The 26700-nt window shown below is 41.7% G+C and overlaps 1 long non-coding RNA gene across 1 annotated transcript in view, besides 3 other annotated features; it reads right to left on the bottom strand.

The window, feature by feature from the left end:
- Window positions 1-26700, bottom strand: part of TMEM252-DT (TMEM252 divergent transcript) — a 103426-nt gene that overhangs the window by 45092 nt on the left and 31634 nt on the right. The window lies entirely within an intron of this gene.
- Window positions 2784-3284: an enhancer, noted in NCBI's record as "H3K4me1 hESC enhancer chr9:71210991-71211491 (GRCh37/hg19 assembly coordinates)". NCBI's record gives its function as "activates a minimal SCP1, AML or CMV promoter by ChIP-STARR-seq in naive H9 embryonic stem cells {active_cell/tissue: H9 hESC(naive)}" and the evidence as "EXISTENCE:reporter gene assay evidence [ECO:0000049][PMID:30033119]".
- Window positions 3285-3785: an enhancer, noted in NCBI's record as "H3K4me1 hESC enhancer chr9:71210490-71210990 (GRCh37/hg19 assembly coordinates)". NCBI's record gives its function as "activates a minimal SCP1, AML or CMV promoter by ChIP-STARR-seq in naive H9 embryonic stem cells {active_cell/tissue: H9 hESC(naive)}" and the evidence as "EXISTENCE:reporter gene assay evidence [ECO:0000049][PMID:30033119]".
- Window positions 14616-14705: an enhancer, noted in NCBI's record as "active region_28437". NCBI's record gives its function as "activates an Ori minimal core promoter by ATAC-STARR-seq in GM12878 lymphoblastoid cells {active_cell/tissue: GM12878}" and the evidence as "EXISTENCE:reporter gene assay evidence [ECO:0000049][PMID:35858748]".

Raw genomic sequence — 26700 nt, 5'->3', positions numbered from 1 at the left:
TAGCTGGGTGCAGTGACATGTGCCTGTAATCCCAGCTACTTGGGAAGATGAGGCAGGAGGATCGCTTGAACAAGGGAAGTGGAGGTTGCAGTGAGCCAAGATGGCACCGTTGCACTCCAGCCTGGGTGACAAGAGTGAAACTCTGTCTCCAAAAAAATAAATAAATAAAAATAAAGTTTATGAGATAGACTATTAGTTTGTGCACCATTAAGACAGAAAAAATGCTGAGAATTAAACTCTGACAAAATGTTTTCTTGTCCCTTACAATTCCACACTGATTTGACAGTTTTTTTAAACCATATATTACTCTTATACATGCATAAAAGAGGAAAATATAAGTAACATAATCAATTAAGGTATTCTATAAATTTTTCCACATTTAACATCTGACTTCTTAGAATTCTTTCCTGGTGTCTGTGTTTTTTGGCACAATAAAACTTCCATGCAAATTGAGTATTGGTGATACAGCATTTTTGAAAAGAATCTATAAAAGAACAAAGTCATTGGCATTGTACTCTCAAGCTATTTTTGCAGTTAGGTGCAGCTAACCTACTTTTTGTTCCTGCTCTGGAATCTTGCTAAAACATTTCTGATTTGCCACCCCTTCTTCCCCTACCCCCTCCTCATAGCCATTTGGTTCCTCAGGGTAAGAAGAGTACCCTGCCATTGTCTCCAGAATCTTTTCCCACATGTTGACACCAATTCTGCAAGTTTGTTTCTTGTCCCTGTGATGCCAGAGAATGTACGGCCATGATGGCTGTGATACAGCGGCCACCTGGCTGACTGCTTTTGGAAGATGTCACCAATGATGAGAGCATCCTGACTTCAGAGAGATGAAAATGTGAAAAAACAAATGTGCCTTAGAAACAATGAAATATGGTAGTTGTAACTGACGGATAAAAACATATGTGGAAAGAAGGCCAGGCACGGTGGCTCATGCCTGTAATCCTAGCACTTTGGGATGCCAAGGCAGGCAGATCACTTGAGGTTAGGAGATCGAGACCAGCCTAGCCAACAAGCTGAAACTTTGTCTCTACTAAAAATACAAAAATTAGCCGAGCATGGTGGTGCAAATCTGTAATCCCTGCTATTCAGGAGGCTGAGGCACAAAAATCACTTGAACCTGGGAGGTGGAGGCTGCAGTAAGCCGATATTTTGCCACTGTACTCCAGCCTGGGTGATAGAGCAAGACTCTGTCTTAAAACAAACAAAAAACAAACAAAAACAAACAAACAAACAAAAAACAACTCAACAACAACAAAACATGTGGAAAATGCGTAACTTTATGCATGGACATGATAGACACCAAATCCAAGATGGCTATTATCCTAGAGAAAGCAGTTAGTGAAATGGAGGCTATGTGATTGGTGACTGATGTTCAGGAAGCTTCAGTGAATTGCTAACATCCTATTTCTTAAGCGAGGTGGAAGATACATGTGTGAGTATTATTTTTCTATACTTGTTGTAGGACTGAAATATTTCAAAGCAAAAAAAGGAAATTGCTGCATGAGTGCAATTCTATTAATTGACTGTATGAGTCTGAGGAACATGTGTAAATTTAGCCTTCTACTCTACATTTTAAAGATAGTATACCTCTCCTTCCTGCCTCAGAGGAATTTTGAGTTGTTATGAGGCTCAAATAGCAAATGCTTGTGAGCAACTTTGTTCAACTGTTCAACTGTAAAGCATGACATAGAAAGTTTATGAAGATTGTCATCTCACAAGCTAACCAAACTTCTTACCAAGGGTGTGTTACCTTCAAATGGTGATATCTATTTCACTACCTCTTTGAACTGGGGCCAGCTTTGTGACTTGCTTTAATCAATAGAGTATGACAAAAGTGACACAGCAAGTTCCAGAACCTAGACATGGATGCTAATATACCTTTGATTGTAACACTTTTAAAATCCTGAGTCACCACCATGCTATTAAGAAGCCTAGTCTAGTCTATTGGAGCATGAGCAGTCACATGAAGAAGAACCATGGAGCCCAGCCACCAGCCAGAACCAAGGGCTAGACATGAGTGAGGTCATCTTGGGCCCTCCAGCCCCACTGACCCTCCAGCTAAATGTTGCAAATGAACAGAACTCCCGAGTCAACCCACAGAATCATGAGAAATAATAAATCGTCATTGCTGTTTTTAGACCACCATGTTTTAGGCTGGTTTGTGTTGCAGCAAAGTCTACCTGAAACTAGAAGCCTTTGGGAGTTATACTGATCCATGACTTACATTTTGGTATGATCTATTTTGCAGACCACATGACACTGCTAGCACTATATTGAATTTAAACAATAAGTATTAAGCACCTACTGTGTGTAGGTTACTGGCTAGGTGCTGTGAAGACTACAAAGAGGCACCATCAACAGCTTACTTATAGCACTCAGAGGACCTCTAATCTCATTAAGAAGACAATATGTAAACTATGTAAAGTTAAATAACAATAAACTGACCTGAAAAATACAGGCTATCCAGAGAAAAGATAAGATGTATGAAGTTCTTAGTATGTAGCTGGACCTATGGCCCAGTTCATTTAATTTTCACAATAACCCTACAAGGTAGGCACAATGAGTATTCCCATTTTACAAATACGAAAACTGAGGACACTGTGGGTAAGTTGTCCAGGGTCACACAGCCTGGGTCCCGGCAGCCTGACTATAGCCCATGTGCTTTAGCTCTAGACTAAATAAATGAAAGCCAGAGCCGAGAGTACGAGGAGACAGATGCTCTGCGGCTGGGAAATGGTCAAGAAGCCCCTAGGGTAGGTGAGACCTCAGCCAGCCTTGGAGGATGGGTAGGAGTTGGGATGAAATTAAGGTAGGGGGGTTCCAGGTGGGGGTCACAGCATGAGCACTGTGGAAAGAGTGGGGAATCACATGCAGCATTGGAGGACCCATGAGCAGGACTCCCTCTGGATCAGGGTCTGCCTCCCTCCAACCCAGAAGTGGCCCTGACTGTCCTTACTGGTTGCTTGCCTCCCAAGGAGACCCTCACTACCTGACAGAGGGGACGCCTGGGGAGGGGGCTGGGAGGAGCTTGGAAAATGGGAGAAGATGGCAATGTCACTGGTTGGGCTGTAAGACAGAGCCAGAAAATGGATGGCTCCACCAGAGATTCTCCCCATCAGCTGGGTGGGAGGGAGTAGTGATCTAGCAGGAGCTGACTTCCAGCTGCCCTGGGGAGCCCCTTGTCCCCATCTCCATTGGCCAGGACAGCACAGAGGCCAGCATAGTATTGAGGCTGAAGAGGGCAGAGGGCAAGTTGCTAGGCCTGAGGACAGCTTCATTTGCATGAGTGGCGGGGGTGGGGCCTGCAGAGTGGAGCTGCTCCTCTTGGCCCTGCGTGTGATGGGGCCCAGGTCACCTTTTCTTGTCGTCCTACACCACCAACAAACCTTGTCTATGGCTCTAGAGCAAGCTTGTCCAATCCACAGCCCACAGGCCACATGTGACCCAGGATGGCTTGAATATGGCCCAATACAAATTTGTAAACTTTCTTAAAACATGAGATTTTTTTGCGATTTTTTTTTTTTTTTTTTTTTTTTTAGCTCATCAGCTATCATTAGTGTTTGTGTATTTTACAGGTGGCTCAAGACAATTCTTCTTCTTCCGATGTGGCCCAGCGAAGCCAAAAGATTGGACAACCCTGCAATGAAATTGTGTGCTCAGATAGGCTTTTGAAATTGGCACCACTTAATAATCTCTGAATCATCATGAAATATGTTGGTATGAGGCCAGTTCTTCTTTATTGTATGTATTTTTGGCTAAACTATGTTACTCAACATTATAAATGCCCACTGCACCAGTGGGGTTGCTGGTTGTTTGCAGAGGTGATCGCTGTTTCTAAAAAAGACTCAAACTGCATTGTAGGAAAAGCAGGGAACCACGTGAGGCAACATCTGGCTTCATTACTCCTTCATTACAAACATTGCAGAGCTCATGTCCTATTGGGCTTCAGGAAAGGCTCCAAACGAAGGGGCATTTGAAGTGGCCTGGAAGAATGGAGATGTTACCAGGTGAGGCCAGAAAGAGCAGGCACACCAGGTGGTGGAGGTAAACTCAGCAAAAGCCTGGGACCCCCCACACACAGAGGATGATCAAGGATGAGGAAGAGGTCTAGGCAGGTTAAGCCTGGGAGTTGAGAAATAGAATAAGCTGGGACAGAGAAGATGGTTGGAGTAATGCTGTGAGGGAGGACCCTGACCAGGGACAGTTTGGAGCCACGGCATTTCATTCCAAAAGCAAAGCAGAGAAGTTCAAGATTACGTGAAAGCAGCAATTCCACCTGACCAGTTCTTTATTCAGCCTTGAGAATCTAGGGTAAGAACAGATGGATAGAAATCGTATCATGAGAACATCCTGTTTAAAAAGATCAGAAGACAGCCGGGTGCAGTGGCTCACACCTGTAATCCCAGCACTTTGGGAGGCTGAGGCAGGCAGATCACCTGAGGTCAGGAGTTCGAGACCAGCCTGACCAACATGGTGAAACCCTGTCTCTACTAAAAATACAAAAACTACTTGGGCGTGGTGGCACACGCCTGTAGTCCCAGCTACTCGGAAGTCTGAGGCAGGAAAGAATCATTTGAACCCTGGAGGTAGGGGCTGCAGTGAGCCGAGATCGCACCGTTGCACTCCAGCCTGGGCGACAAGAGTGAAACTCTGTCTCAAAAAAAAAAAAAAAAAAAAAAATCAGAAGGTTCTACCTAAACAAACCCTTGAAATGCAAAAGATATAAAGCCCATGCAGTGGTTGGCAAGATGGCCGAATGGGAATAGCTCTGGTCTACAGCTCCCAGCGAGCTCAACGCAGAAGGCAGCTGATTTCTGCATTCCCAACTGAGGTACCCGGCTCATCTCATTGGGACAGGTTAGACAGTGGGTGCAGCCCATGGAGGGCTAGTCAAAGCAGGGTGGGGCGTCGCCTCACCTGGGAAGTGCAAGGGGTTGGGGAACTCCCTCCCCTAGCCAATAGAAGCTGTGAGGGACTGTGCCATGAGGGACGGTGCATCCCGGCCCAGATACTATGCTTTTCCCACGGTCTTCACAACCCACAGACCAGGAGATTCCCTCGGGTGCCTAAATCACCAGGGCCTTAGATTTCAAACACAAAACTGGGCAGCCATTTTGGGCAGGCACCGAGCTAGCTGCAGGAGTTTTTTTTTTTTTTCATACCCCAGTGGCACCTGGAACACCAGAGAGACAGAACTGTTCACTCCCCTGGAGATGGGGCTGAAGCCAGGGAGCCAAGTGGTCTAGCTTAGTGGATCCCACTGCCATGGAGCCCAGCAAGCTAAGATCCAATGGCTTGAAATTCTTGCTGCCAGCACAGCAGTCTGAAGTTGACCTGGGATGCTCAAGCTTGGTGGTGGGAGGGGCATCCGCCATTACTGAGGCTTGAGTAGGTGGTTTCCCCCTCACAGTGTAAACAAAGCTGCCAGGAAGTTCAAACTGGGCAGAGCTGACTGCAGCTTGGCAAAGCCACTGTAGCCACACTGCCTCTCTAGATTCCTCCTCTATGGGTAGGGCATCTCTGAAAGAAAGGCAGTAGCCCCGTCAGGGGCTTGTAGATAAAACTCCCATCTCCCTGGGACAGAGCACCTGGGGGAAGGGGTGGCTGTGGGCGCAGCTTCAGCAGACTTAAAGGTTCCTGCCTGCTGGCTCTGAAGAGAACAGTGGATCTCCCAGCACAGTGCTCAAGCTCTGCTAAGGGACAGACTGCCTCCTCAAGTGGGTCCCAGACCCCTGTGACTCCTGGCTGGGAGACACCTCCCAGCAGGGATTGACAGACACCTCATACAGGAGAGCTCTGGCTGGCATCTGGCAGGTGCCCCTCTGGGACAAAGCATCCAGAGGAAGGAACAGGCAGCAATCTTTGCTGTTTTGCAGCCTCTGTTGGTGATACCAGGCAAACACGGTCTGGAGTGGATCCCCAGCAAACTCCAGCAGACCTGCAGCAGAGGGTCCTGACTGTTAGAAGGAAAACTAACAAACAGAAAGGAATAGCATGAACATCAACAAAAAGGACATCCACACAAAAACCCATCCAAAGGTCACCAACATCAAAGATCAAAGGTAGATAAATCCATGTGTTTTTTGGCTGCATAAACGTCTTCTTTTGAGAAGTGTCTGTTCATGTCCTTCGCCCACTTTTTGATGGGGTTGTTTGTTTTTTTCTTGTAAATTTGTTTGAGTTCATTGTAGATTCTGGATATTAGCCCTTGTCAGATGAGTAGGTTGCAAAAATTTTCTCCCATTTTGTAGGATGCCTGTTCAAATGCTCATCATCACTGGCCATCAGAGAAATGCAAATCAAAACCACAATGAGATACCATCTCACACCAGTTAGAATGGCAATCATTAAAAAGTCAGGAAACAACAGGTGCTGGAGAGGATGTGGAGAAATAGGAACACTTTTACACTGTTGGTGGGACTGTAAACTAGTTCAACCATTGTGGAAGTCAGTGTGGCGATTCCTCAGGGATCTAGAACTAGAAATACCATTTGACCCAGCCATCCCATTACTGGGTATATACCCAAAGGACTATAAATCATGCTGCTATAAAGACACATGCACACGTATGTTTATTGCGGCATTATTCACAATAGCAAAGACTTGGAACCAACCCAAATGTCCAACAATGATAGACTGGATTAAGAAAATGTGGCACATATACACCATGGAATACTATGCAGCCATAAAAAAGATGAGTTCATTGTCCTTTGTAGGGACATGGATGAAATTGGAAATCATCATTCTCAGTAAACTATTGCAAGAACAAAAAACCAAACACCGCATATTCTCACTCATAGGTGGGAATTGAACAATGAGATCACATGGACACAGGAAGGGGAATATCACACTCTGGGAACTGTGGTGGGGTTGGGGAGTGGGGAGGGATAGCATTGGGAGATATACCTAATGCTAGATGACAAGTTAGTGGGTGCAGCGCACCAGCATGGCACATGTATACATATGTAACTAACCTGCACAATGTGCACATGTACCCTAAAACTTAAAGGATAATAATAAAAAAAAAAAGGTAGATAAATCCACAAAGATGAGGAAAAACCAGTGCAAAAAGGCTGAAAATTCCAAAAACCAGAATGCCTCTTCTCCTCCAAAGGATCACAACTCCTCACCAGCAAGGGAACAAAACTGGACAGAGAATGAGTTTGATGAATTGACAGAAGTAGGCTTCAGAAGGTGGGTAATAACAAACTGCTCCAAACTAAAGGGGCATGTTCTAACCCAATGCAAGGAAGCTAAGAACCTTGAAAAAAAGCTTAGAGGAATTGCTAACTAGAATAACCAGTTTACAGAAGAACATAAATGATCTGACGGAGCTGAAAAACGGCACAAGAACTTTGTGAAGCACAATAGTCAAATCGATCAAGCAGAAGAAAGGACATCAGAGATGGAAGACCAACTTAATGAAATAAAGCGTGAAGACAAGATTAGAGAAAAAATAATGAAAAGGAACAAACAAAGCCTCTAAGAAATATGGGACTATGTGAAAAGACCAAAACTATGTTCGATTGGTGTACCTGAAAGTGACAGGGAGAATGGAACCAAGTTGGGAAACATTCTTCAGGATATTATCCAGGAGAATGTCCCCAACCTAGCAAGACAGGCCAACATTCAAATTCAGGAAATACAGAGAACACCACAAAGATACTCCTCGAGAAGAGCAACCCCAAGACACATAATTGTCAGATTCACCAAGGTCGAAATGAAGGAAAAAATGTTAAGGGCAGCCAGAGAGAAATGTCAGGTTACCCAGAAAGGGAAGCCTATCAGACTAACAGTGGACCTTTCTGCAGAAACCCTACAAGCCAGGAGAGAGTGGGGGCCAATATTCAACATTCTTAAAGAAAAGAGTTTTCAATCCAGAATTTTATATCCAGCCAAACTGAGCTTCATAAGTGAAGGAGAAATAAATTCCTTTACAGATAAGCAAATGCTGAGAGATTTTGTCACCACCAGGCCTGCCTTACCAGAGCTCCTGAAGGAAGCACTAAATATGGAAAGGAAAAACCGGTACCAGCCACTGCAAAAACATACTAAATTGTAAAGACCATCGACACTATGAAGAAACTGCATCAAACAATGGGCAAAAAACCCAGCTAGCATCATAATGACAGGATCAAATTCACACATAACAATATTAACCTTAAATGTAAATGAGCTAAATGCCCCAATTAGAAGACACAGACTGGCAAACTGGATAAAGAGTCAAGACCCATTGGGGTGCTGTATTCAGGAGACCCATCTCATGTGCAAAGACACACATAGGCTCAAAATAAAGGGATGGAGGAATATTTACCAAGGAAATGGAAAGCAAAAAAAGAGTGGGGTTGCAATCCTGGTCTCTGATAAAACAGACTTTAAACGAACAAAGATCAAAAGAGACAAAGAAGAGCATTATTTAATGGTAAAGGGATCAATGCAACAAAAAGAGCTAACTATCCTAAATATATATGCACCCAATACAGGAGGACCCAGATTCATAAAGCAAGTCCTTAGAGTCTTAAAAAGAGACTTAGACTCCCACACAATAATTGTGGGAGACTTTAACACCCCACTGTCAATATTAGACAAATCAAAAAGACAGAAAATTAACAAGGGTATTCAGGACTTGAACTCAGCTCTGGACCAAGCAGGACTAATAGACATCTACAGACATCTACAGAACTCTCCACCCCAAATCAACAGAATATACATTCTTCTCAGCACATCACGCTTATTCTAAAATTGACCACATAATTGGAAGTAAAATACTCCTCAACAAATGCAAAAGAATGGAAATCGTAACAGTCTCTCAGACCACCGTGCAATCAAATCAGAATTCAGGATTAAGAAACTCACTCAAAACTGCAAAACTACATGAAAGCTGAACAACCTGCTCCTGAATGACTACTGGGTAAATAGCGAAATGAAGGCAGAAATAAATAAGTTCTTTGAAACCAATAAGAACAAAGACACAACATACCAGAATCTCTGGGACACAGCTAAAGCAGTGTTTAGAGGGAAATTTATAGCACTAAGTGCCCACTGGAGAAAGCAGGAAAGATATAAAATTGACACCCTAATATCACAATTAAAAGAACTAGAGAAGCAAGAGCAAACAAATTCCAAAGCTAGCAAAAGGCAAGAAATAACTAAGATCAGAGCAGAACTGAAGGAGATAGAGACATGAAAAACCCTGCAAAAAATTAATGAATCCAGGAGCTGATTTTTTGCAAAGATTAACAAAATAGACTACTAGCCAGACTAATGAAGAAGAAAAGAGAGAAGAATCAAATAGACACAATAAAAAATGATAAAGGGGATATCACCACTGTTCCCACAGAAATACAAACTACCATCAGAGAATACTATAAACACCTCTGTGCAAATAAACTAGAAAATCTAGAAGAAATGGATAAATTCCTAGACACATACACCTTCGTAAGACTAAACCAGGAAGAAGTCAAATCCCTGAATAAATCAATAACAAGTTCTGAAATTGAGGCTGTAATTAATAGCCTACCAACCAATAAAACCCCAGGACCAGCTGGATTCACAGCCGAATTCTATCAGAGGTACAAAGAGGAAATGGTACCATTCCTTCTGAAACTATTCTAAACAATAGAAAAAGAGGGAATCCTCCATAACTCATTTTATGAGGCCAACGTCATCCTGATACCAAAACCTGGCAAAGACACAACATACAAAGAAAATTTCAGGCCAATTTCCCTGATGAACATCGATATGAAAATCTTCAATAAAATACTGGCAAACCGAATCCAGCAGCACATCAAAAAGCTTATCTACCATGATGAAGTCAGCTTCATCCCTGGGATACAAGGCTGGTTCCACATACTCAAATCAATAAGTGTAATCCATCACATAAACAGAACCAATGACAAAAACCACATGAATATCTCAATAGATGCAGAAAAGGCCTTCGATAAAATTCAACACCCCTTCATGTTAAAAACTCTCAATAAACTAGGTATTGATGGAATGTATCTCAAAATAATAAGAGCTATTTATGACAAACCCACAGCCAATATCATACTGAATGGGCAAAAGCTGGAAGCATTCCCTTTGAAAACTGGCACAAGAAAAGGTTGTCCTTTCTCACTCCTATTCAACATAGTATTGAAAGTTCTGGCCAAGGCAATCAGGCAAGAGAAAGAGATAAAGGTATTCAGATAGAAAGAGAGGAAGTCAAGTTGTCTCTGTTTGCAGATGACATGACTGTATATTTAGAAAAACTCATTGTCTCAGCCCAAAATCTCCTTAAGCTGATAAGCAACTTCAGCAAAGTCTCAGGATACAAAATCTATGTGCAAAAATTACAAGCATTCCTATACACCAATAATAGACAGAGAGCCAAATCACGAGTGAACTCCCATTCACAATTGCTACAAAGAGAATAAAATACCTAGGAATACAACTTACTAGGGATGTGAAGGACCTCTTCAAGGAGAACTACAAACCACTGCTCAGGCAAACAAGAGAGGACACAAACAGATGGAAAAACATTCCATGCTCATGGATAAGAAGCGTCAATATAGTGAAAATGGCCATACTGCCCAAAGTAATTTATAGATTCAATGCTAACCCCATCAAGCTACCATTGACTTTCTTCACAGAATTTGAAAAAACTACTTTAAATTTCAAATGGAACCAAAAAAGAGCCCGTATAGCCAAGACAATTCTAAGCAAAAAGAACAAAGCTGGAGGTATCATGCTGCCTGACTTCAAACTATACTACAAGGCTACAGTAACCAAAACAGCATGGTACTGGTACTAAAACAGAGATATAGACAAATGGAACAGAACAGAGGCCTCAGAAATAATGCCACACATCTACAACTATCTGATCTTTGACAGACCTGACAAAAATAAGCAATGGGGAAAGGATTCCATATTCAATACATGGTGTTGGGAAAACTGGCTACCCATATGCAGAAAACTGAAACTGGACCACTTCCTTACACCTCATACAAAAATTAACTCAAGATGGATTAAAGACTTAAATGTAAGACCTAAAACCATGAAAACCCTAGAAGAAAACCTAGGCAATACCATTCAGGACATAGGCATAAGCAAAGACTTCATGACTAAAACACCAAAAGCAATAGCAACAAAAGCCAAAATTGACAAATGGGATCTAATTAAACTAAAGAGCTTTTGCACAGAAAAAAAAAAAAATCTATCATCAGAGTGAACAGGCAACCTACAGAATGGAAGAAAATTTTTGTAATCTATCCATCTGACAAAGGGCTAATATCCAGAATCTACAAAGAATTTAAACAAATTTACAAGAAAACAAACAAACAACCCCATCAAAAAGTGGGCAAAGGATATGAACAGACACTTCTCAAAAGAAGACATTTATATGGCCAACAAATATATGAAAAAAAGCTCATCATCACTGGTCATTAGAGAAATGCAAGTCAAAACCACAATGAGATACCATCTCACACCAGTTATAATGGTGATCACTAAAAAGTCAGGAAACAACAGATGCTGGAGAGGATGTGGAGAAATAGGAATGCTTTTACACTGTTGGTGGGAGTGTAAATTAGTTCAACCATTGTGGAAGACAGTGAGGCTATTCTTCAAGGATCTAGAACTGGAAATACCATTTGACCCAGCAATCCCATTACTGGGTACATACCCAAAGGAGTATGAATCATTCTATTATAAAGACACATGCACACGTATGTTTATTGCAGCACTATTCACAATAACAAAGACTTGAAACCGACCCAAATGCCCATTCATGATAGACTGGATAAAGAAAATGTGGCACATATATACCATGGAATACTATGCAGCCATAAAAAAGGATGAGTTCATGTCCTTTGCAGGGACATGGATGAAGCTGGAAACCATCATTCTCAGGAAACTAACATAGGAACAGAAAACCAAACACTGCATGTTCTCACTCATAAATGGGAGCTGAACAATCAGAACACATGGCCACATCCTTCCCACAGGGAAGGGAACATCACACACTGGGGCCTGTCAGGCGGTGGGGGGCTAGGGGAGGGATAGCATTAGGAGAAATACCTAATGTAGATGACAGGTTGATGTGTCCAGAAAACCACCATGACATGTATATACCTATGTAACAAACCTGCACGTTCTGCACATGTATCCCAGAACTTAAAGTATTAAAAAAAAAGTTTTCTGACTATACACCCTAAGCTTTAGATAAATCTAAATTTCCTTAAAAGTTTGAAGGGCCTATGAATACAGAATAGTTTCTTACTAACGCAGCAGTGAATATACATTTATTATTTGGAAAATGGCAGAGAATCACAACTCTTATCTACCTCAACTGTTTTTAAACATTCATAGAAATTTAATCTGTTAATAATTGAGTTTGGGAAGGCTGGAGCACTTAGAAAAATGGACTATTTTAGTGTCACAGGTGAGACAAAGAACAGGCTGAGAAGCTCAAGAATCGCTGCATTCCTCTTACTGATTACAGAAAAACAAGAGATTCAGTGCTGCTAAAATTGGCTTCAGAATCATTTTCACGACAACCCATACATCATCCCAGAATTTCCTGAAAGAACATCTTTAGGTTATGATTGAAGTCAAGTATGATTCTTTCAAAGGTTTCCCTTTAAGAAATTTTATTAGTAAAAGTAAGGTTAAGAAACATATGTAAATATACAGTATATGTATAGTACATAGTATAGTATACATACATACATATAGTATATGTTTTGTTACTATATATACACTATATATATGTAGTAACAAAAGGAGTGTACTCTGATTCTCACCCATAATGTTTCTATAGATGTATCATTTTGGCTTAGATGAAAGCGAGCAATCAAAAAGATGAATCACTCTATCTCTTCCTTAAAAATAACTCTTTAAAGTGCTAATAAATGCTTATTTAATAAGTCTGTATATACATATATAAAATGGGAGAATAATATATTGAAGGAATTTGTGTTTATCTTATTAACGTGGAATGGTAAAAATTCTTTTAGTGTATGATAATAGTGTAAAAAAGTTCCAAGACTGGGTCTTTTTTAATACCAAAAAAAGATATAAAGTGCATGTGTTGGCAAACTTAAAAAAAAATTACACATGTAATACATGGTTGGGTAGATAAAATGTGAAAATACAGATAAACCAAATGGAGGGAAAAATGAGAAATATTTAATATTACTTATAATTGTACCATCCAGGAATAATCATTTTAGGATATATCTGTCAGACTTTTAAAAATGTATGTATACACACATATATTACACAAATGGGGTCATGCTGTTTTAGAACCTATTTTTTTAAACTTAGCAACATATTGCGACTGTCCATCTATGTCAATGTACTCCTCAGCATCATTTAAAGGAGTGGTCCCCAACATTTTTGGCACCAGGGACTGGTTTCATAGAAGACAATTTCTCCAGGGATGATGTGGGGGATGGTTTTGGAATGATTCAAGTGCATTACATTTATTGCACACTTTGTTTCTCTTATTATTACATTGTAAAATATAATGAAATAATTATACGACTCACCATAATTTAGAATTCGTGGGAGCCCTGAGCTTGTTTTCCTGCAACTAGACCGTGTCATCGGCGGTGGGGCGGGGGTGGGGGGGTGGGTGACGGGAGACAGTGACAGATCATCAGGCATTAGTTAGATTCTCATAAAGAGCACGCAACCGAGATCCCTTGCATGCGCAGTTCACAATGGGGTTTGCACTTCTATGAGAATCTAACATCACTACTGATATAACAGGAGGTGGAGCTCAGGTGGCAATGCCAGCAATGGGGAGCGGCTGTAAATACAGATGAAGCTTCGCTCGCTCGCCCACCACTCATCTCCTGTGTGTAGCTCTGTTCCTAAAAGGCCACGGACCCATACCGGTCTGCAGCCCGAGGGTTGGGGACCCCTGAAAAATGATCGCTTATTATTCCATGTTGAAGTACATCTTAAACCTTCTCCAATCCCCCACTACTGTCTATATAACAACCTGAAGTGTATCCATTCAAGGAATGTGTTCTTGGCCACAAAAACAGGGTGCTTGAAAAACAAATCCCAGCAGAATCATTCTTGTCCTTACGTTAATCACTACAGGGCTATTTTCAGAGCACTCCAGTGGAGCATACCGCAGTCTTCCAAAAGGGTCTTTAGGTGGTGCTATTGGATGGAACGGTTCCTTCGGAAGAGAGATGATTCATTTGCTTGGGGGTGGGGGGTGGGGGCACATCAACCCCGACTTGATTCCTCCTGTTATCTTTGGATATTCTGTATTAACTCCAATTCCCTCAAAAAGAAGTGGCAAGGATCGATCTTTAGCAGTTGTTCGTGACCTACATGCATTCTTGAAACAAGGCACACTTTAATAGGTTTAATGTTTCCTGCAAACTGTTGTGGATAGACTGAGCAGAACAAAATGCCTTTTCTGCTGGGTAAAGAGTACCTGGCACCCCCTCCCTGCCCCCCAATCCCCCCACCTCCCGCCAAAGTCACCTGCTTACGTCAGACCAGCCCTGATGCGATGGAAATGCTGAACTGAAGTGTGCTCCCATGGTTTGAAGAGCACATTTTTCACTGGCATCATGCACACAGGACAAAGCATGTCTCTTAGATGAAAGCATCTTTAAAATGACATAAACAAATACAAATTGGAATCTCAGAATGCAGTTTAAGGACCTCACTGCCCCCCTCTAGTGGTCATGTCGAGTTTCATCGGGTCTCTTGACCACAGACCGGGTCCTGTCCTAGGAATTCTGGCGCCCTCTTGTGGAGGGCAGGAGGAGGTCTTTGTAGACCGGCAAAGACCAGCGGGGCCTGCGTGAAAGATGCTAAAGACGAATTACCTCCTCTCCCTCAAAGATTCCCTAAAAGCAGAATCGAGTCAATTCTCATTCATTCTTTTAGGGCTGTATGTCTTTTAAAAATGCATTGCATTCTTTGCTGCCTGCTTGGAGTACAATGACCGACATTAACCATTTTCTCAGAGATTCAGATTTTTCCTTTTAAAAAATTGGCTCCGGCCCCATGAAAAACAGCTGTAAATGCTCAGAAGCTGCTGAGATCTGATCACAGTTCTACTTTTTTTTCCACTATGAAGCCTGCATGCGAACTCCCTGCAGCCTGCAATGCTTTCTGGGTTTTCATTTCTGTTTCCATTTTCACCTTTTCCCTCATTGTCTTGCTGCCAGTCTCTAACACCACTCCTGACCTCTTCCTTCCTTCTAACCTGCTGTGGGATCAGAAGTGAGGTAACAAAGCTTGCTATAATTCTAATTTATCAACAGAATAAACAGACCCCCGTCAATACTGGAAATGCTCTCCCCTTTGCAAAATACGAAATGTCTTTTCTAAATACACGCATGCCTTTTAGTGCCTATGTAATCCTTATCCAGTGAGTGGGAAAGAGTTAAAAGAATGAAAGTGTTAAAAAGAAATTTCTCTAGGACGGGCAGCTGATCCTGTGAGCGGGGAGCTTTGGAGGCAGCCCTGGTTTCTTTCTTTCTTTCTTTCTTTCTTTCTTTCTTTCTTTCTTTCTTTCTTTCTTTCTTTCTTTCTTTCTTTCTTCCTTCTTCCTTCCTTCTTTCTTTCTTTCTTTCTTTCTTTCTTTCTTTCTTTCTTTCTTTCTTTCTTTCTTTCTTTCTTTCCTTCTTTCTTTCTTTCCTTTCTTTCCTTTCTTTTCTTTTTTTTTGAGACGGAGTCTCACTCTTGTTGCCCAGGCTGGAGTGCGGTGGTGCGATCTTGGCTCACTACCACCTCCGCCTCCTGGGCTCAAACGATTCTCCTGCCTGTGCCTCCGGGGTAGCTGGGATTACAGGCGTGCACCACCACGCCCAGCTAATTTTTGTATTTTTAGTAGAGACAAGGTTTCCTATGTTGGCCAGGTTGGTCTCAAACTCCTGGCCTCATGTGATCCGCCCGCCTAGGCCTCCCAAAGTGCTGGGATTACAGGCGTGAGCCACCGTCCCCTGCCTGATTTCATCTTTGCCTCCTTGGCCTGGTTTCTGCTCCCTGGGCTGGAAGCGCTGTCCCCTGGTGGTGGGGAGGGCCGTGTGCTACATAGGACTGAGGTTTCAGAAAAAAAGTTCTGCAGGTGTGGATAAACAGAATGCTAAGCGGATATTGCCCAGGACAGCATAAGTGGAGGAGAATCTCAACCAGAGTCAAGGTTGTGTATGTCTGTAACCAAGGGTGCAAATGTCAAGGTGAGAAGTGGTAATGCGGCACCTGGAGATCGCGGCGGGTGATCCAGGACAGGGCAGTGGGAGTTAGATAGAATGGTCATGTTTTTTTTCCTAATAAGCTATTTATTTACTTTTGGCAAATAAAAATTGCATACCTTTACAGTATACAACATGATGTCTTAATGTATGTATATATTGTGGTATAATTAAATAAGTGGTTTAACATATTCATCACCCCCACATAGCTATTTTTTTGTGGTGAGAATATTTAAAATCTATTCTCTTAGCCATTTTCAAGTATGCAATGCATTGTTATTAATTATAGTCACCATGCTGTATAATAGATCTCCATAACCTATTCCTCCAGTCTAACTGAAACTTTGTACCCCTCTCAACTATTCTTGACCTCTGGCAACCACCATTCTACTCTACGCTTCTGTGAGTTTGACTTTTTGAGAGTCCATACACAAGGGAGATCAAGAGTGGTCCTATTTTAATGTGGTGCTGGCTTTGTTGCATGGAAATAGGCTGTTACTTGGGCAGAGACAGTGGGATGGGGGATATTTGTAACAGAAAAAGTTCTCAGATTGAGATGTTTTGTTCCTTAAGGAAATCATCTTCAGACAGGGCTCTCCTGTAGTGTTAAATGGAATCCTACAAAACACCAGTGTTCCATGAGTTGTCAGTAGGTGGTCTATAAAAATTATTTTCTATATTCAGGTAACTTTTGGCAATTACACACCATATGTGCTGAAAAGCTTGTTAACCAGCGCAGACCCATACTCTGCCCTTCTTCTCCCTGGACCCCCTGCCAGGTCACCTTGTTCTGGTTCCATCTCTTGATCAAAGGCTGTAACTTCAGTCAGGCTGACTTCTCTCTGGAGGGGTTTCTGGTACCCTGCTGGTGCTAGTGCTGGGGCGTTGCACTCCTCTTTGTGATTTCCCTATATCCTGCCCATACCTTTATAAACAATATTTTTACAAAACTATTCTCGAATTACCCAAAGTGAGTATGCCATCTCCTGGCTGACACACCATATGTTTCATTAGAGAAACGTGATGCCCAGTAGCATTTTAAAATACATTAATCATATTGGTTAATTTGTTCATAGTGGCCTCTTCTACTGGAACACAATCACAGTGCCTGGTGCATAGAAGGTGCTTGTCTTAGATGGGGTTTTCTTAGGAGCAGACACTTAACCAAAAATGTGGGTGCATATGATTTATTAAGGAAGTGCTTCCTGGAGAAACTGCTAAGGGAGTGGGGAGGCAGGGTGGAGTAGAGGAAGAAGCCAAGCAATTGAGCAATGCCAGGAGAAAGTCCCAGTCTCAGCCTGATCCCATGGGGCACACTGAGGCATAGCTGGTTTTTTTTGTTGTTGTTGTTTATTTGTTTTTTGACATGCAGTCTCGCTCTGTTGTCCAGGCTGGAGTGCAGTGGCCTGATCTCGGCTCACTGCAACCTCCACCTCCCGGGTTCAAGCAATTGTCCCACCTCAGCCTCCTGGGTAGCTGGGATTATAGGCACCCGCCATCATGTCCAACTAATTTTTGTATTTTTGTAGAGACGGGGTTTCACCGTGTTGGCCAGGCTGGTCTCGAACTCCTGACCTCATGTGATTTACCTGCCTTGACCTCCCAAAATGCTGGGAATACAGGCATGAGCCACTGTACCCGGCCTTAGCTGGCATTTTGAATGTCCCCTCCCACAACATCCGTCCATCATTGGTGGCAGAGACCAGGGACCCTAGGGTGGGTCATAAACTCCCAGGCACTTCAACTCTCTAAATGGACAAAGTAGCTTCAGTAGCCACAGTCAAATCTCTGAAAGAGGGCAAAGCTGCAAGTAGTTAGCTTCAGAGCCCACAGAAGCTGGGGTGTGGGCACAGAGAACCAAGGGGGAGTGGGATCTGGGAAGGTTTCAATGGTGTCTCCCAAAGCTCTCATCAAAAAGTGAATTCATGAATGAAGACCCCCAAAACTTCCTTTATATAGAAAAATCTGATTTTTTTTTTTTTTTTCCTGATACAGAGTCTTGCTCTGTCACCCAGGCTGGAGTGCAGTGGTGTGATCTCAGCTCACCACAACCTCCACCTCCTGGGCTCAAGTGATTCTCATGCCTCAGCCTCCTGAGTAGCTGGAATTTCAGGTGCATGCCACTATGCCCGGCTAATTTTTGTATTTTTTAGTACAGACAGGATTTTGCCATATTGGCCAGGCTAGTATCAAACTCCTGACCTCAAATAATCCGCCTGCCTTGGCCTCCTAAAGTGCTAGGATTACAGGCAGCTACCATGGCTGGCCCCAAAAATCTAATTTTAACACATAGGGCATTACTTTTTTGTTTTATATTATGTGTATTTACATCCCAATTGCCCAATGTTCTATTGACTACATTTTGGTAAAGAAACATTGCTCACCTAGAAAGCTAATTTTTCCTTATTTAGGCCGCTGGGTGTATCAGTCAGAATTCTCCAGAGAAACAAAACCAACGGGATATATATAAAGAGATATGGGCCGGGTGTGGTGGCTCATGCTTGTAATCCCAGCACTTTGGGAGGCCAAGGTGGGCAGATCACTTGAGACCAGGAGTTCAAAACCATCCTGAGCAACATGGAGAAACCCTATCTTTACAAAAAATTAGCCACAGATGGTGGTGCATGACTGTGGTCCCAGCTACTTGAGAGGCTGAGATGGGACAATCGCTTGAGCCTGGGAGGCAGAGGTTGCTGTGAGCTGAGATTGTGCCACTGCACTCCAGCCTGGGTGACAGAGTGGGATCCTGTCTCAAAAAATAAAAAATTACAAAATAAAGAGATGCAAGAAAATATTCGTTATGGAAAGTGGCTCATGTGATTATGAAAGCTGAGAAGTCCATGATATGCCATCTGCAAATGAGAGACCCAGGACAGCCAGCGGTATAATTCGGCCTGAGTCCAAAGACCTGAGAAGCTGAGGGGCTGCTCATAGAAGTCTCTGAGGCTGAAGGCTTAAGAACCTGGAGCTCTGATGTCCAAGGGCAGGAGATGAATGTCCCTGTCTCCAGGAAGCATTTCCTCAGTAAATCATACCTTCACATTTCAAGAGTGTGAATTTTCCCTTCTCTCACCTTTTTGTTCTGTTTGGGCCCTGGATAGATTAGATGGTATTGCCCACATTGATGAGGGTAGGTCTTCTCTACTCAGTTTATGATTCAAATGCTAATCTCTTCCAGAAACAACACCATGACAGACAAACCCAGAAATAATGTTTACCAGCTATCTGGGCATCCCTTAGCCTAGTCAAGTTGACACATAAAACTAACCATCACACTGGGGTTAGGGCAATAGACCCTCTCATGCCTGAGACAGCAGGACTGAGTCTGTTGCCAGAGTCAGAACTTCTAAAGAAATGGAATACCCAGTGCATTACAAGTGTAATATGAGAGAGAGAAAAATGTCATCAGTAAGGTCATGAACCTAGCATGCAAGTGGACGAGAGAACCCCAGGCCTCACTAATAAGGAGGTGACCAAAGAGGAACTAGGACCCTGGAGGTCCTCAGGCAGCTTGAGAAGGTGATCATGGAAGAGGCAGGAAGAAGAGATCAATGTTAGATATCTCTGTGAGGAGCAGGCACATCGGCAGCAGTAATAAAGAGTCTACAAAATAATTTTTATGTCAGTAAATCTCCTGCATGATGACGAAGAGAAGGCATGGACATATAAATGAAAATTCAAAAACTCAGAATAACGTGATAGCTCTGTCCCCAGTCACTCATGAACAGAGAGATACTCATCACCTACTGGCCCAGGGGAAGGAGTAAACATTAAAAACAGAATCACCTTCATTCAGAGTGTTTAATTCAAATATGTAGGACTATTTGGTAGAAATTTTGTAAGTTTGCCTACATGAAGTGATAATGTTCAAATAATCCTTTTTTTTTTTTGAGATAGAGTCTCACTCTGTCGCCCAGGCTAGAGTACAGTGGTGCAATCTCAGCTCACCGCAACCTCCACCTCCTGGATTCAAGCGATTCTCCTGCGTTAGCCTCCCTAGTAGCTGGGATTACAGGCACCCACCACCACGCTTCGCTATTTTTTTTTTTTGTATTTTTAGTAGAGATGGAGTTTCACCATGTTGGTCAGGCTGGTCTCAAACTCCTGACCTCAGGTAATCCACCTGCCTCGGCCTCCCAAATTGCTGGGATTACAGGTATGAGCCACCGTGCCCAGTCAATACTTTTCTTTCTTATGTCTCTGTTAAAGGACCTTCAACATAGATGGTAATGTAGTAGAAATATATGTGAATACAAGGGATGATCGCATATCACTCCATTTATCCAGTCTAGACAATCAACTATTGGCAAACATTATTACAGAAATTATACCCTAAAATAATATCCTGGTATACAGACATTGTTATGAAAATCTTGTGTGTTTTGAAGTCTTAAAAACAAACAAGGAAACAAAAAGTAGTACATTCTGATTCTCAACTATGGGCCCAGGGTTGAGAATGGAATAAAGGCACTCTGGAAGGCTGAGATGCTGCAGTGTGTGATGTTCCAGAAGGGAGCCCGGGCCATTTCCTTTCTGCCATATTTGAATCCAGAAGGTCTGTATGCTTCATGTGTCCTTGCAGTGGACAGGTGCACATTGAATTAAAAGGATTAAGACCAGAACTCATCTAACCCTTGTCACACTCTTTAAAGGAAGCATAAATAGAAGCCCTGACCACAAACTTGAGCTGGTTTCTATGGTTTGAAAATGTACAGTTAATCCAGACTATTATTATTTCTGAGCTTCAACCACTAGTAGTAATATGCTATCACCAAGGGAAGTTTGACCTTTTTATAGCCCAACCTATAAGTGTGAAATAAAAGGAACTGAAAATGAACTCAACCCATTAACCACTTATTAGGCCCTATGGTTTGCCTTGCTCTGCGTTTGGGGAGAGTGTTATGGGGTCAGGGGCAGGGGATTAAAAACATGTGATGGAATCTCTGGTCCTAAGAAAATGAGTGTAAACATCTGTGGTAAAAAGGATGGATTAGTAGCGAATTAGAGCCATTCTGTGTGCTAAAAGTTTGAGGAACTTTCTAGAAAGAAATTTTGTACATATTCCAAAATATTGAACTGAGTAGGAAAGCCGCAAGCATTTGAGTCAATTCTCACCTTCTGATTTCTAAATGTGGATGAAGTCACCGCCTCTGACCTTGGGGAATATTTCCTGTTGCCAACAAAGCCTGCTTGGTGAAGCCTGCAGCAACGAGCCCTTTAGAGGCCCTGTGCAGACTCACCTCATTGCACCAACCAAAGGATCAAAGGACCCAAAGAGAAACTTCCTTGGAGTGGGCTCAGAGCTTCGCTCCTCCCCGTCCATCATCCCCTAGCACCATGGTCTAATTAATGTCCTTACAACAGACCCATCCTGTGACAGCTCCTCCTCCCTGGGAGTAGCCTGTCCTGTAAAGTGGACTCCAACCCCTGTCTAGCCAAAGTCTTCTACAGAAAGAATATAGTTGCAGGTGGAAACTCGGTGGGGGAGGAGTCACGATTTTAGGTAGATTACCTGCAGGTTTCTGCTGACTCCCTTAACCACCCTCTACCACCACTCAATCAGTATTCTTCTTTATGAGAGAAAAACAATTGGCTGTGCATACATTGTTCTCCGCAGACCCAGGGCTGCATAATAAAATACCTACAAGAGTCATACAAGAAACAGAAATTGCAAAAGCCTGATGACTATCAGACCTCCTGTAAAGGCATTCAACATCAGGGTTTGTTTGCCTTTTTTAAATTGCATTTGTTTGTTTGTTTGCTTGCTTTAACAGTGTGCTGGTCAAACAAAATACATCTCCAGTCTAAATGCTAACCACAGGCCACCAGTGTGTAACCTCTGAGGTAGACCATCCTTTCTCTTCAGTGAACAGGAATAATGACAAAAAAGAAAGAAGCTGTTTTACCATCTTTGTTTATGCTGATGGTTCTCTCTCAAAGGAAACCAGACATTTTGTCCAACTGTGTGTGTAACAGCACAATTAGAAAAGAAACGTTTCAAAACACAAGGTTTCTTCCTGCTGCTAATGCCAAAAACAAGGATCCAAAGAATCTAAAAATAACATCGATTTTTGAAAATATGTTTATTTGGTACTTCTTGATGATAGTCTCAGCCCCAATGAGAACAGTTGAAAAAGAAAGTCCCAAATGCCTCCACTGGTTTGCTGCAGAGCCCGAAAGCTGTTGGCATTCGCAGTTATTATTTTTAAATTTCTAAAAGCAGTATTAATTAAATAATCAGATATTGAATGCCTATGAGTTACTAGCTATGGGCATTTTACCCAGGATGTCTCTTGCCTGCAGGAATAGAACACTGACTGGTTGACTTAGTAGCAAGGGGTTGCTTACTTGATTGACCAACTGGCAACCTCCATTGTCTAGCAAAGACAGAGGTCTACGGGAAATGGGAGGTGAGTTTCATTGTCTGACAGTCTTCCATTAGGAGCAGCTCCATCTCCACTGTCTTTTTTTGACGGCACCTTCTGTTGGCAGGTGTGAAATCTTCACTTCTGACACTCTTAAAAAATAGAAGATTTTCTCCTTTAAATGATCCCAGTACATATGCATGGCTCTTAAAGAAGAGGATCTCAGGCAGGGATGCCACCCGCACATCCCTCAATAGGCATCTCACATGACACCAAACATTTGCAACTTTTTAAATAACTATCTGATTTTTTTTTTTTTTTTTTTTTGAGACAGAGTCTTGCTTTGTCACCCAGGCTGGAGTGCAGTGGCATGATCTTGGCTCACTGCAACCTCTGCCTCCCAGGTTCAAGCAATTCTCCTGCCTCAGCCTCCCAAGTAGCTGGGATTACAGGCACCTGCCACCACACCTGGCTAATTTTTTAAAAAATATTTTTAGTACAGATGGGGTTTCACCATGTTGGCCAGGGTAGTTTTGAACTCCTTACTTCAAGTGATCTGCCTGCCTCGGCCTCCCAAAGCGCTAGGATTACAGGCACGAGCCACTGTGCCTGGCCCTATCTGATTTTTTTAAAGCTTAATTCAGAGTATGCATTTTGCCATTTTCCTTAGAAGACTGTTTATGGCTGTGTAGCTTCTCCAATACCTACTGTGAACTCTGACTTCTGAAACTCCAAAATCGCCTTATGAAAAATCCTGTCCTTCCTGGTAGTGTGGGGTCAGGAGGAGGTGGTAATGGTTAATGGTTACACAAAGTAGTTTGAGAGAATGAATAATACCTAGTATTTTATAGCACAACGGGTACAAAAAATAGTGTGAAAGAATGAATAATACCTAGTATTTTATAGTCAAAATAGTTTAATTGTACATTTTAAAATAACTGAGAGAGAATCATTGGATTGTTTGCAACACAGAGGATAAACGCTTGAGTGGATGAGTATCTCATTTTCCATGATGTGAGTATGCATTGCATGCCGGTGTCCAAGTATTTCATACCCCATAAACATATACACCTGCTATGAACCCATAAAAATTAAAAATCCTTTCATTCTTGATTCTACTACCAGAAAATTAATACTTAACCAAGTTACTTGTCTTCTGCGTTAATTTCCTCACTATCTAAAAACACTTGATCCTACTTTCCAAACTAAGTATTACATGTGTATAAACACATATACTTACAGACAAACTCACCCAGGGCAATTTGTGGAAGTCCAATTAGTGAGTAAATTGTAACTATAGACTCGAAACTCTTTGATCGAAAACCCAAGTCATTCAAATGACAGATTTGCCATTTTGAACCATGCAATCTTGGGAAATTATTTACCCCCCTGTGAAATTCTATGTATACAAATGGAGGTAAAACCAATCATCTTGCACAGTTGTTGTAAAGATTATACACATAAGATGATCCAGGGACATCAACTCAACACTGTTTCTGGTATATTTTGCTTTAACAATGTTGATTTCCTTTTCAACTCTTATTCATTTAATTTTTTAGAACTTAACATTTGCAAGGCCAGGCACGGTGGCTCATGCCTGTAATCCCAGCACCTTGGGAGGCTGAGGTGGGTGGATCATGTGAGGTCAGGAGTTTGAGACCAGCCTGGCCAACATGGTGAAACCTCATCTCTACTAAAAATGCCAAAAAACAAACAAACAAACAAACAAACAAAAAACCAAAACCAAAAAAAGAAATTAGCCAGGTGTAGTGGCCTGCACCTGTAATCCCAGCTACTCAGGAGGCTGAGGCAGGAGAATCGCTTGAACCTGGGAGGCAGAGGTTGCAGTGAGCTGAGATTGTGCCAATGTACTCCAGCCTGGGCAACAAGAGTGAAACTCCTTCTCAAAAAAAAAAAGAAAAAAAAAAGAACTTAGATTTGCAGCACTTGAGATATTAAATATAATGTGAAAAGATATAGAAGTTGAGTTGGTCAAGGGTATTTTCTAGTTCATTTTCCTTCAACCATGTTATTTTATAGACAAGGACAACGAACCCAAGGTTACAAACTAATTAGTAGCCAAACCCAAACTCGAGTTCAGGTTTCTGGACACCCAAGTTCAGGGCACTTGCCATCACATTGTCATAAAAGTCGTATTGTTAAATTTTCACTGTTCATTTATCAGAAATGTGATTTGATGTAGAGCATTCCTTCCAATGCTGGATTTGGCGTTTACAGTTGGGAGAGAGGAGAAAGGAGTTGACAAATATAAAAATAAATGCTAAAGAGAGAGAGCTACATGGGATAGAGAGTAGTACGAGACAGAAGTTAGAAGACTTATAAATAATGGCTAGGGCTGCTGGAAGAAAGAAACAGTGTAAAAATTACAAGGATATTATTAAAGACAGTTTTCAAAAGATTGATTTGCCTGTAGGGGGAGTAAACATCGCAGAATATATTAGGATGTGTCCTTGGTTCATTTGTTTTCCCATCTTTGTTGTCTGAGATGTTGTGAGACAGGGATCTTTGATGTTTTAGAATAAACATACTGTCACTATTCCACAGCTTATAAGCCCCAGGAAATGAATACTAAACCTCCTTCTCTCTTCCCCACACAATTCTAAATACAAGTTAGCTTCATTTCAAAAGATTTCAAGAGACTGCCCTCCTCCCAGTTGCTTCTCTTCTTCTTATATTTTTTAAAATTGACTTAAATAAATGAAGCATCTAGACTTTGAATATTTGTTTATTGTAATTTGACTTAATTGTCATGTTAACTAAGAAGAAATCTCCCCCAAGACACTACTTCATAGAGAGTTACCCAGACTTTAAAATCCCAGAGAAATATTGTTCAGTGTTCTTTTAGAAATGTATCCCCTTCCCTCTAGACACAGTTATGATCAGCCCATTTTATATGGCTGTCAACTGACTCAGGTTACAGAAAGAAATAATTATTGGTAACTATGTCCACTATTGTGGGACACAGGCTACACTTGAGAATACACACAGGCACACTTTGAAGCTGGGAGTCTTCACTTTGCATGTTATAAAACCCCAAAGCATTTATTTAAAGGGAGAAATTTGATTTTGTAATTGTAAAGACTAATGAAATTTTACGTGGTTGATGATTTTGTCAGTTACCTCAATGTTTGACAACCTTGTTAAGCAGCTTTCTAGAAAGGATATATTCAGGCTCTCACCCTCTGAAAATTATATTAAACAATTTTGGTGGACATGACTGTTTACATAATCAGTAAGCTTCTCTATAATGACTGTATTTGTATTTCTGTAAGTTTTTTGTGTGAATGTGAGAGCAAGCTTTAGACACTTGCAAAGGGATTAGGCTCACAGAAATGAATCCATTCCAGGCAATAATTTGGAAAGTCATATTTAAATCTTTAATTAGAACACTAAGTCCTAAAACTTAGCTTAGCCTATAGAGTCTCTTTATATGAATTAGTTCAGGCATGGTGAAAAATCTAAGAATGATTCTTTTATGTCATGCTCAACCCCCCAGAAAAACTAAGGTACACTTCCCAGCTTTTCCCAACTTCTCTCCTTTTATGAGAAAATGGCATTAATGTAAAATATTAAATATTAAAATAATAGTATTGTCCTATTGCTCAGAACAATCTTCTCCGAAGTATTCTTTAATAGGACAATGGTTCTCAAATAGGTGAGCTTCAGAATCGCCTGGAGGACTGTTAAAACACAGATTGCTGGATGCCACCCCCTAAAGTTTCTGATTCAGTGCATCTGAGGTGGGACTGAGTAATCTGCATTTCTAACAAGTACCAAGGCAATGCTGGTTCATAGGGAGCACACCTCAAGGATCACTAAAAATTCCGTATGTGTATATATGTATATATTCAGGATGTAATTCCCAAATACGCAAACACACACACACACACACACACACACACACATATGCATGCACACACAGACACACACACACCACAGAAAGAGAGAAAGAGAGAGAGAAAGCAAAGGCAGCAAAATGTTAATAATTGGTGGATTTGGGTAACAGGTATTTGGGAGCTCCTTACTATTGGTGTGAATTTTCTCTAAGTTTGAAATTATTTCAAAATACAGTTTAAAAAAATTATACCTTATGAAGC

The sequence above is a fragment of the Homo sapiens genome, chromosome 9 (assembly GCF_000001405.40).
Source record: "Homo sapiens chromosome 9, GRCh38.p14 Primary Assembly".
NCBI lineage: Eukaryota > Metazoa > Chordata > Mammalia > Primates > Hominidae > Homo > Homo sapiens.
Note: the sequence above shows the minus strand (reverse complement) of the source record. Positions and strands in the feature narration are given on the sequence as shown.